Source organism: Homo sapiens, chromosome 9 (genome assembly GCF_000001405.40).
Source record: "Homo sapiens chromosome 9, GRCh38.p14 Primary Assembly".
Lineage (NCBI taxonomy): Eukaryota > Metazoa > Chordata > Mammalia > Primates > Hominidae > Homo > Homo sapiens.
The window spans coordinates 121228965-121241373 of record NC_000009.12 but is presented as its reverse complement, the minus strand read 5'-3'; the positions used below and the strand labels follow the sequence as shown (position 1 = coordinate 121241373).

Below are 12409 nucleotides of genomic sequence, written 5' to 3'. Positions count from 1 at the left end.
AAGTTAAAAGACCTAATTAGGATTTTGATTGGCTCAGATTTGATTTTGTTTGTTTGCTCACCTGAAATCTTTCAGTGAATTAATCCATTTACCTAGGGAGAAATTACATCTTTATTATCCCAAGTTTTTCTACCCTTTGTCTTTTACGCCTCCAAGGAGAATCTGATGTTTTCTCTTAATAGATGCCCTTTGCACTTCTTTCCGAGTTTATTCTTTTACAAGCTGCCTTTGTAGCTAAGTTGAATAACATCTTTGGTTCTTTTATGCTTTCTTTCTAATTGATCTGTATGGCATTATTTTTATTTCCAGTTAGTAACTTGATACTTGGTTGAAGTTTCCTGTTTCCAAGAGCTTTTCAGTTGATTCCCTTGTTTTCAAGATGGAATTATACCATCTGCAAATATTTAAAAAAGCCAAACAAAACCTGCTCTCCTGATTTCACCAAGAGTGCTCTTTTTAACACATGACACTGCATTTCCCCACAACTCTGCGTTTTCCAGATGACTAAAATGGCTCCTTTAAGTGCCATAACATTTAGAAACACAGCTGCAGAGCAGAAGTCTTTCTTAAACAAAGTACAATGTGTAGCAAACTCCTGCGGTTTCACCTGCACATCACATGCCTCCCCCATCTTTAGTGGCCGCCCCTCACTTTCTTTTGGAGAACTGCCCCTCCTCTACCCCATGAGGCCCTAGCAGGATTGTCCGTCACTTGATCCCACTCACAAGCCCCAAACAGGTCCTGGTTCCACCACAAGCTAACCCAACTGACTCTTCCAAGAATTTGTATCTTGAGAAAAAGGATACTTGGCCAGAAGGATATTGACGCAGAATCATCTGGAAAGCAGGCCCTAAAGAGATGTCCAGGAATTTTTGCCTCTCCCGAGGCCTGATTGTTGAAGTTCTCTTTTGGTTCCAGGAGCCACCCAATATACTTCCAGTACATTCTCTTTCTTTGCTTAGGTTTGCTTCTGTTACAGAGCATATAGATATCAGCACCCAAGAGCTGATTGCAGACAGCAGACTTTGTTATGAGTTGAATTGTTATGAGTTGAATCCCCAACCCCTACACAAAACAGTGTTGAAGTCCTGTCCTCTAGGATGTCTGAATGCAACCTTAATTGGAAATAGGGTCTTTACAGAAATAATCAAGTTAAAATGAGGTAATCAGGCTAGGCCCTAATAGTAATATAATGTGACTGATGTCACTTAAAAAGGGGAATTTGGACACAGAAACAGACAAATACAGAGGGAAGACAATGTGCAGACACACAGGGAAAATGCTATGTCAAGATGATGGCGCTGCAGGCGATGTGTGGGGTTATGAATGGGCCACACCCAAACTACCCAAGCCCGCTGGTGGTGGGAGCTCAGGAGCAGGTGCTGGCAGTTAGTTGGAACTACCTCTCCCAGCCTTGCCTTACATACATCACAGTATCAAGAGTCCATGGTCTACTAGTGATCTTAGATCACGTTAAGTTTCCCATAGACGCTGATATTGTCCACTGGACATTACTAGATGGCACAGAGACATGGGCAAGTTCTAGAAGTTGGTGGCTCCAAGGCAGTGGTTCAGGTATTTCAAGGGACTGGGGATATTCTCCAAACATCAGTGTCTGAGGATATGCTTTGTTGGGTATTAGTTGGATCGGGAAAAACCCATTGACAGAGGTCCTCTTGTACTGGCTGAAGATTTCTTTGATATCATGCGATGGCCAACCAATCCTCAACGTCAAATCTACCCAGAGGACATGATTCGGACCAGCATTTCAGCCATAGTTGGTATGAACAGTATTGCCGGGGCAGAAAATTTTTATCTTCTCTGCTGCTGGGTTACTACACAAAGATTGCAGCTCAAATCTGCCACCAGACTGGTTTGCTAAATGAATCCAAAGACGTAGACTACACTGAGGAAAATTTTCCAATTGTATTTGCTGCTAAGGATGTAAACATGGAAACTGCCTGGTTCTTCAAATCTGGTTTTGAAGAAAATGGCTCAATGGACAACATCTGCCTGTTTTTGAACTTGGCTAATGACCCAACTATTGGGTGGATTGCCATCCCTCACCCGGTTCTAACCACAGCCGAATTTCTGGCATACCAATATGAGAAACATGTATTGGTTATCCTAACAGATATGAGTTCATCTACTGAAGCACTTCAAGAGGTTTCTACAGCCAGAGAAGAGATTCCTGGTTGATGAGGCTTCACAGGTTACACTTATACAGACTTAGCCACTATATATGAACATGCAGGTCGAGGAGAAGGTAGAAATGGCTCAATTACTCAAATTCCTACTCTTACCATGCCTGCCAACGATATCATTCACCCATCTCTGAACTGACTGGGACAGATCTATGTGGACAGACAGCTACACAAGAGAGAGATTTACCCACCTATCAATGTGCTGCCTGAACTATCACTGTTCATGAAGTCTGCTATTGGAGAAGGGATGACCAGGAAGAATCATGCAGATGTATGTAACCAGCTGTAGGCAAGCTATTGGGAAGGATGTACAAGCCATGATTGCTGTAGTTGGAGAAGAAGCCCTTAGCTCAGATGATCTTCTTGACTTGGAATTTCTGCAGAAGTTTGAGAGGAACTTTATTTTTCAGGGTCCTCATGAAAATCACACTGTCTATGAGACTTTGGATACTGGTTGGCAACTGTTCCTAATCTTCCCCAAAGATATGCTGAAGAGCACCTGTACTGGTCAGGTTCTCCAGAGGGAGAGAATTAATAGGATAGATATCTACATAAAGGGGAATTTATTAAGGAGTATTGATTCACACGCTCACAAAGTATAGTCCCACAATAAGCCGTCTGCAAGCTGAGGAGCAAGGAAGCCAGTCCAAGTCCCAAAACCTCAAAAGTAAGGAAGCTGACAGTGAAGCTTTTAGTCTGTGGTCGAAGGACCAAGAGTCCCAAAGCTGAAGAACCTGGAGTCTGATGTTGAAGGCCAGGAAGCATCCAGAATGGGAGAAAAATGCAGGCTGGAAGACTAAGCCAGTCTAGTCCTTCTACATTCCTCTGCCTGCTTTTATCCCAGCCACATTGGCAGCTGATTAGATTGTGCCCACCCAGATTGAGGGTGGGTCTCCCCTCCCAGTCCAACTCAAATGTTAACATCCTTTGGCAACAACCTCACAGACACACCCAGGAACAATACTTTGCATCCTTCGATCCAATCAAGTTGACACTAAGTATTAACCATCACAGCAGCAAAGTAAATTTTACCCTTGAGACTCTGCAAAGCACTGGCTGCTGTTTCATCACTGCTTAATATACTTGTGAAATGCTGGTTCTGTTTTCTTTATTCCTTTAGCACTCCCCTAGCCTCATCTTTGTGTTGGAGTTTACCGTGTTAACCTATAATTAAAAACAAAGAATACGTAACATATTGTTCCAGTGTTGAATGCTTTAAACTGCTAACAGACTTCAAACTATTCCCTATTCAGAAAACCTGGGTCTTCAGTGCTTTGCTAAAAGTAGCTGCAGGGATGCAGGTGACGTTTTCTTATTGATGTTTGCATTGTACACAGTGATATAGTTAGTTACCTAATAATGTCCTCATTATCTGGGTCTCTTGGACTTTACCTCTCAACCTCCTCAAGAGTATCAGCCTCTGAGTTATAATGCTTTGGTCTCTAAATTAAAGGGGCAAGATCAGGTCTAAAAGATGACTCCTTTCAAAAGAGCCAAGATGCTCTTTCTTGAGCATTTTCTTTTGGGTTGTTGATGTGCCTGTGGTTCTGTGCTGCTGCTCTAAGCAAATAGTTTCTTTGGTTGCTTGGTTGGTTGGTTTTGTTTGTTTGTTTGTTTTTGAGGCAGAGTCTTGCTCTGTCGCTCAGGCTGGAGTACCGTGGTGTGAGCACAGCTGCTCCCAGGCTCAAGCAATCCTCCTACTTCAGTCTCCCAAGTAGCTGGGACTACAGGCATGTGCTACTCACATGCAGTTAATTTTTTAATTCTTTTTGTAGAGACAGGGTCTCACTATGTTGCCTAAGCTGGTCTTGAACCCCTGGGCTCAAGTGATCCTCCCTCCTCGGCCTCCCAAAGTGTTGTGATTACAGGCATGAGACATCACCCCTAGCCTAGCAGATGATTTTGACTGCCTACTTGCTCTTTCTTATACAATAAATAGATGAGCAAAAGAAATTTCCTTTTCCTGTTTATTACATATGCATTGAGATTCCTGTGTCTTACAGCTCTCCCTCTCTGAGCAACACACAAAATCCTGCAACTTTTGCACAGCTGATATTTATCTGATAGCAGTGAAAAGCCTTGTCTTTGGTGACCTTTACTGAGTTTCCATGCAGAAGAATCACATGACTAAAATCATTAATAGAGTGGTTGCTTGGGGTACAACAAAAGAAGAAAGAAAAACCTATAGCCATTCTACATTCTGACATGTGAACAGTGGTTTAAGTTTCTAAAGTGTTTACCAGATGCTGAAGGCAAGGTGAGAAGCAAAGGCTCTCATGTTTGTGGATATTTTAATCTCTGTTAGGAAGCAGCCTTTGGAAAATCCCTGATTTGGTTCTGCTTTCGGACCTACCTCTGCCTTTTCAGGGTAATGTTGTGGCACAGGTGGTGGCACTTAGAAGTTTTGGAGTTTTATTCCTGCTCCTTCCTGATGCAAGCCCTGAGCTGTCTTCTATGCAGTTGTGCCTTATTGACTGTTTGGTCTCTCTGTTCTTTGTTACTCAGGTGCAATAGCAACTTCCCTACTCCATGCATTCTACCTTTCAAATTGTGTAAATTTCTTTTCTTTTTTTCTCTTAGGGTGTAGGGTACGGGGGAAGTCAGTATAATTTTAATGTAGAAAATGTGATATTTGGATATAAATGAAAATACATGTTGGCCGGGCATGGTGGCTCATGCCTGTAATCCAGGCACTTTGGGAGGCTGAGGCGGGCAGATCACGAGGTCAGGAGTTCGAGACCAGCCAACGTGGTGAAACCCTGTCTCTATTAAAAATACAAAAATTTGCCGGCCGTGGTAGCGTGTATCAGTAGTCCCAGCTACTTGGGAGGCTGAGGCAGGAGAATTGCTTGAACCCAGAAGGTGGAGGCTGCAGTAAGCCGAGATCGCACCACTGCACTCCAGCCTAGGCAACACAGCAAGACTCTGTCTTGGGGAAAAAACAAACAAACAAACAACAATAACAACAACATGTTAAATAATGGAAAAAGAAAAAAAAGAGAGAATTAGAGTGAGGCAGCCACAAACCAAGAAACACCTGTGGCTGCCAGGTGCTAGGAGTGCGGTCTGGAGAACAGCTCCTTCCATTGCCTCTTCAGAGGGAATGTGGTCCTGTGGACACCTTGATTTCAGATTTCAGGCATCCAGAGTGTGAGACAATACATTTCTGTTGTTTTAAGCCACCCAGTTCATGATACTTTGTTATGGCAGTCCTAGAAAACTCATTCAGACCCTCAAGGAAATAAGAGCTATTTGGAATATGTGGCCGAGACTGCTAGGTGTTCACCAAAAGGCTTTCCATTCTACTTTTTTGCCTAAGTATAATAGGAGCCAGGCACATGGCTGTCCCCCTAGACTGTCTTTGCCAGCCTTGCTTGTGTTTAGGGTGGCCAGGTGCCTGAATTCTCACCAGGGGAATGAAGTGGGAGTCACGTGTCATTTCCGGGCCTGGGTTCTAAGATAACCAGCAAGCTTTCTCCACTGTCTTCTTTCCCACCAGCCAGAACCCAGCTGCACCGATGCAGAAGAGAACACTGCCCTGGGGAAGAATGAGCGACAAAGAACCAAAGCTGCCCTTCTGCTCTGGGCCACTCACCTCAAGGGGAAATAGGCTACTCTAGTTTGCCTTTTTATTACAGGAGCTTAGCTTTTCCTCCAAGTGATCCATGATTCTTGAGCTGGACAGGGAGAGAGGCACTGAGAATCCTAATTGTCTTCCAGAATAGGAACGACCAGCCCTTGGAAGACAGTGGCTAAGCACATAATCTCTTTGGGTAATCTGGGACTTTGGACAAGCTGAAGCTAAAATTCTCAGCCACCTAAAAGGGAGATGAAAGATGTGGAAACCAGTAGGGTGGCTGCTTCTGAAAGCATCAGGTATCTTGATTTAGGATAAGGACAAGCTCACGTCTTGAGATGTTTGCCACAAGGCACAAAGTGAAACTCACGACTTTTCTCTGGCCAGATGGAAACTGTTCACTGGGGCCATGGGTGCGAGATTGCTAAAGCCAAACTCGGATTCGGGGAGTTGCTGAATTTCAGTGACAGCCAACGGCATGACTTTGCCAGGTTTCCTTTAGGAAAGGATGGTGATATCTGGGGCTTGCGAGAGAACTTGGAGAATTCCTACCCACTAACCATCTTGGTCTGCAGCCTTTCCTCTGCGCCTCCCTCTCATGGAGAAGGAAGGAAGCTAACACTCTTCCTTCTGCCCCACACCTCCCTGTTTCTCAGCTGGGAACTAACTCCATCTGGAACAGCCAAATTGTTCTCATGGCAATGTCCTACATTTATTTATTTAACTATTTAATTTATTTGTTTAGAGACGGGGTCTCACACTGTTGCTCAGTCTAGTGTATGGTGATGCAATCATAGCTCACTGCAGACTTTAACTCCTGGGCTTAAGCGATCTTCCAGCCTTGGCCTCCCAAAGTGCTCGGATTACAGGTATGAGGCACCATGCCCAACCCTACATTTATTTTTTATCTGGATTTGCTTTCCCTGCCCTTCGTGCCTCCACCAGCACCACAGCCTGAGGGCTTATAGAAGCTTTTACCTAGTCATCGTATGTCACACGATGCTCCCTCTTATCAAGGAATTCACTTCATGGCAAAAGTGGCAGTGACTTAAGGCCTGTGGGATTCACTCTTCACCTAACAGACCCCACCCATGACCCAGGAGCAGCTGGCTCCTATAGCACAGTAGAATGGCCTTGTGGAGGCTCACAGTGCCCATGGGGAGATAACTGCTTGCTCCCCTCCGGAAGGGATCGGTGCTGTGAGTCAGCATCCCATATGTGATGCCATTTCCTGTGTCTCTCTATTACTTTTCAAGATGTAGCAGTGAGGCAGGCACTGCAAAGTGTCTCCCAATAGCCTTTCTTACTAGAAGTAGTAGAATTTAGAGCTGGGTGCATGGCCACCCAAAATCAAGATACCATTTTCCAGTCTCCCTTGCAGCTAGGCACGGCCGTGAGATACATATTAACCAATGGAATACAAGAAGAAGCCACATGTGGTGGCTTTAAATAACCTTCTACAGGAGAAAGCACCCTTTGTGTTTGCATCCCTTCCTCTGTCCTATTGCCTGAAGTGTCATCTTGACCCACGAGGCTTAGGTCATGCATTGCATAAAAAAAGCATAAAGAACCAGGGTCCCTGACATCTTAGAGCACTATTCCAGTCTGGATCACTTACCCAGACTTTTGTGAGAGAAAGAAACTTTCGATTTGTTCAAGGCATTATTGTCTGGGGTTTTCTGTTGCTCAGTGAAGGCAAACTGAATTCCAATCGAAACAATTGCTTCAGGAACGAAGGGGTGGAATTGCTCAAGGTGACACCTAACATCTGCTCTCCAAATGTTAGACTTCCTGTCCTGAGACTCTAGGCCTTGCTAGCTATAGGTTTTAGGGTCTCTTTTGGCTATCTGTTGCTGTACAACAAACCACTCCAAAACTTTGTGGCTTTAAATAGTAAAATATTGTTATCTCTCATGGTTCTATGAGTTGGCTGGGCTCAGCTCAGTGGTTCTTGCTTGGAGTCTCTTACGAGGTTGCAGCCAGTTGCTAGGTGGGGTTGGAACCATCTGAAGGTTTAACTGGACTGGACATCAAAGATGGCATCTTTATTTGACCTCCTGTGCCTCAGTGGTCTTATTCTGTGTGCCTGGCAGAATAGCCTGGATATTTATTTATTTATTTATTTATTTAGATGGAGTCTCGCTCTGTCACCCAGGCTAGAGTGCAGTGGCGTGATCTCAGCTCACTGCAACCTCCACCTCCTGGGTTCAAGAGATTCTCCTGCCTCAGCCTCCTGAATAGCTGGGATTACAGGTGCATGCTACCACGCCCGACTAATTTTTTGTATTTTTAGTAGAGACGGGGTTTCACCATGTTAATCAGGCTGGTCTTGAACTCCTGACCTTGTGATCCACCTGCCTCAGTCTCCCTAAGTATTGGGATTACAGGCATGAGCCACCGCGCCTGGCTTGCCTGGACTTCTTATGTGGCAGCTCTGGGCTCCAAGAGGGAGGAAGAGGAGGTTGTTAGTCTTATTAAAGGCCTACCTCAGAGCTGACAGAGAGCATCACTTCTACCACATATTGTTGGTTAAGCAGTCTCAGGCCAACCCAGTATTCAAGGGCTGAGGAAACACATTTCACCTCTCAACAGAGAAGTGATAGGGAATTTGTAGCCGTCTTTAATCCACCACAAAGCCCAAGGGATGAAAACTTCTATCAGGGGACTCAACAATGGTTCCTCTGAATTGTAAGCTGAGAGTGCCATCGAGCCACTTTGTCTCCTCAGCCACAAAGCAAACATCAAGGAAAGCGGAGGTTCTTGAAAGGAAGTACCCATGAGTCTCTACTTCTATGATCCATGGAGTTTTGGTTTCCGGCCTGCCTGAGACCTAACTGTTGCCTTTCCTTTGGCAGAGTTCTTCCAATCAATTTCACAAACACAAATACTTTTTATTTTCTTGGCTCAGGATAGCAAGATTGAATAAGCTCCATAGATCTGCTGTACAATATTACATCTATAGTCGATGATACCATATCGTACACTTGAAAATTTGTTAAATGGGTAGTCCTCATGTTACGTGTTCTAATCACAATAAAATATATTTTTTAAAAAGGTTGCAAAATTGGAGTCTGCCCCTTAACTGATACGTTCATCCCTATCATGCATACACACATGGCTTTTTACTTATGTAACTCTGCCAAGAGTGCCTGAGGCTGTGAAAAAGGGATAACTGACTAACCAGCCCCACCAGATAAATCAGAAGCCTGGCTTTAATCTATACAGACTAATAATTTTTGCAATCATAGTGAGGGCCCTAAGGTGTCAAGAAGATTTTCAATCACATTTCCTAGATTTCCTCATTACATAAATGTTTCCTAAGATCCCACCAGATGCCACACCCTGTGCTCAGCACTGGACAGTCATGAAGCAGGTCCAGTCCCTGACCTCAAGGAAAACCAGTCTACATTGTACCACATTATAACAAGTTAGGTTTGGGATTATCAAATCTTCTGGTCTCTCCCATCACTTCCTCCCATATTAATCTGGAATAGCTGCAAATGCTTTTATATACATATATATATTTGAGACAGAGTCTCGCTCTGTCACCCAGGCTGGAGTGCAGTGGCATAATCTCAGTTCACTTCAACCTCCGCCTCCTGGGTTCAGGCAATTCTCCTGCCTCAGATTCCCAAGTAGCTGGATTTACAGGCACCCGCCACCATGACTGGCTAATTTTTATATTTTTAGTAGACACGGGGTTTCACCATGTAGGCCAGGCTGGTCTCAAACTCCTGAGACCGCTTTGGCACCCCAAAGTGCTGGGATTACAGGTGTGAGCTACTGCACCTGGCCTGCTTTTATATTTTTAAGATTAAAATTTTTTCCCATCTTTCCCTTCTCTCTCTCTTTTTCATGATTCCCCATCTTTAAAACAATAGAAGCCTGCCTGCTACATCACCACGAGAGCTCATACTGTAGGACTCTGTGGTCACTCTGTTGAAAATTTGCAGCACTTTCTCTTCCCTCTTCCCAGCTCTCAGTTGAATTGGCTGGAGTTCTGATACCCACTGACATTACTGTTATTTTGTTTTTTGTTTTTTCTTCTTCTTCTTCAAAATCATGTCTGAAGTTAATTACAGCTTCAAAGGGCTTTTCTGGTCAGTTTCTTCAGTTGAGGCAGTTGGTTCTGGGCTGGCTCGGTCTCCGCTACCTTCACCCAGTTCTTATTTGAAGTGTAGAGTCCTTGGTAGATAATATTAACCTAAGGCTTTCACGAGTTATCAAAGATAGAGAAGAAGGAAATCCTTTACAAGGATAGAAAAGAAGAAAAAGAAATCCAAAGTCACCTGCTTTCCTCCCAATGACATTTTCCATGGAAGGAATGCCGTTTGCTGATGAGAGTACTCTTCCACCTTCACAAGGCTCTGCAGCATTGTGGAGCGTTTTTCACAGCGAGCTCTTCTTTCTCCTTCTAAACAGTGTGACCTATGGAAAAGGACAAACATGGAGGTCAGAGAGTGCCTGATGGAATCCCAGCTTTGCTTCTCGTTGGCCCTGGACTGCCAATTGATCATGTACTAAAGGAGGAGTATAGCGATGCTTACCCTTTGGTTTTAGCGTTAGGAATGTGATTACCCTGCACGTAGTAGGTGCTCATGAAATCCATTGAGTGATGCTGTGAAGTTTGCAGTGAAGAGATTATGAACCCTGATTTACGTGTGAATAAAATGAAGTTCACGAGAGTGGGAGTAGGACTTATCCTAGGTCACAGAGGGTGGGCGAGGGTCTTTAAGAATCTAAATCTATTGTTTTTTCTATCACATTAACCCACTGAATAACAGGATTTTCTCAGATTTTAATAATAATAATAGCAACGGCACTGATGGTAAAGGTAGCTTTTGTCTATTGAGCATCAGCATGTGCCAGACATTACACTAGGCACTTTCTATGAATGAACCCATTTAACTATGAGGTGGGTATGATTACCCCATTTTACCGATGGAAAAAGTCTGGGATTCAACAAGGTGAAGTAACTTACCCAGAGACACACAAGGGCTGAATCTGCTTGAGTCTTAAAGGAGACCTTGGTTCTTCCTTACTCCAAAACCCAGGCTCTTATCCCCCACATTGCAACTTCCTCAATAAATAAAATATCTTTGAAATGTGTTACTAATTGTGTAAGTTCAAAGATACCATCCAGATGTCTCCATCTTATTAGGCAAGCTCTGTGCGCAGACAGCTAACGATTTAGCTACATCTCTTCATGAGGTCCTTTCTGCACTATAGGATTGTCTGGCCTTCCAGTTTAGCTACTTTCCTAAAAATTTGGAATTGAACGTCCTGAGCTTGAGCAGGATCTCCCAAACATTGTGAGAAAGCAAGCCGTTTTCTCTCTCTGAGCCTCCTTTTCCTCCTCCATAAAATAAGGGTAAAATTTGAGCCTGGAATATCTGGTACCAGAAAACAAAGAAGGTTCAAAGCTATTGGAGCCACATCAAAGCACACAGCAGCCAGCTCAAACAAGCAGCTCACACTGGACAAACATGAGACAATTTGAATATCAAAATGAAAAGTGATCAGAAAGGATTTCTACACACTGAATTAAAAAATATCCCTCTACTCAAAGGATTTCTACACATTGAATCAAAAAGGATTTCTACACATTGAATTTATACAGTCCATGAGTGTATAAAAAAAGAATCCATGAGTATATAGTGATATTCTAACCAAAAAGAAAAAGTGTAGATGAAATTAGAAAAACACTATTTTGCAACCATGATAGAAATAATTGATTCAGGTAAAATTATCAGTGAATGCTAAAACACTGGGTGAGAAGTTGTTGGATCCACATAGTCTCAAAGTGTCTCCCCAGAAATTACTTATTAATTACAAAGATAAATAGGTAACTTTACAATGAAGATTTCTGATAACCACCACTTTAACCAACTGATAAAACTTAGCATCCCCAGTAATGAGACAAGCTGACAACATGTGTGACACCCTGGAAAGACACAGAATCACCTGAATAGCATTTTGGCCCAAAAATGTATAACTTAATCTTATAATGACAAACCTAAATTGTGGAACATTTATAAAACAACTGGCTTGGATTTCTCAAAATTTCATTATGAGGCCGGGCGTGGTGGCTCAGTCTGTAATCCCAGCACTTTGGGAAGCTGAGGCGGGTGGATCACCTGAGGTCAGAAGTTTGAGACCAGCCTGGCCAACATGGCGAAACCCCAACTCTACTAAAAATACAAAATTAGCCGGGTGTGGTGGCGCATGCCTGCAGTCCCAGCTGCTCAGGAGGCTGAGGCAGGAGAATCACTTGAACCCAGGAGGTGGAGGTTGCAGTGAGCTGAGACTGCGCCACTGTACTCCAGCCTGGGCGACAGCGCAAGACTGTCTCAAAAATAATAATAATAATAAAATTTTTAATTTCATTATGAAAGACTGAAGACAAAGTAGGGGGAGGGAACTGTTCCAGGTTAATGGAGACTTGAGAGTTATGAGAATTATGTGCTCTCTATACTACTGGACGAAAATTAAAAAGCTATAAAGGATATATCAGGCCAACAGGAGAATGCAAACATGGTCTGCTCTTAGACACTACTTTTGTGTCTTATGTTTATTGATCGTGACAATGGCATCATGATTATGTAGAAAGCGGCCTTCCTCTTAGGAG

The 12409-nt window shown here is 43.4% G+C and overlaps 1 protein-coding gene and 1 pseudogene across 6 annotated transcripts in view; one reads left to right on the top strand and one right to left on the bottom strand.

Moving 5' to 3' along the window:
• Nucleotides 1-12409, bottom strand: part of GSN (gelsolin) — a 131360-nt gene that overhangs the window by 91469 nt on the left and 27482 nt on the right. For all 6 annotated transcript variants that reach the window (NM_001353054.1, NM_001353053.1, XM_047423273.1 and 3 more), the window contains exon 6: nucleotides 10071-10209. The gene's annotated coding sequence lies outside the window, so the exon portion shown is untranslated. The remainder of the gene's footprint in view (nucleotides 1-10070; nucleotides 10210-12409) is intronic.
• On the top strand, nucleotides 1295-2700 carry LOC645482 (ATPase H+ transporting V1 subunit B2 pseudogene; annotated as a pseudogene).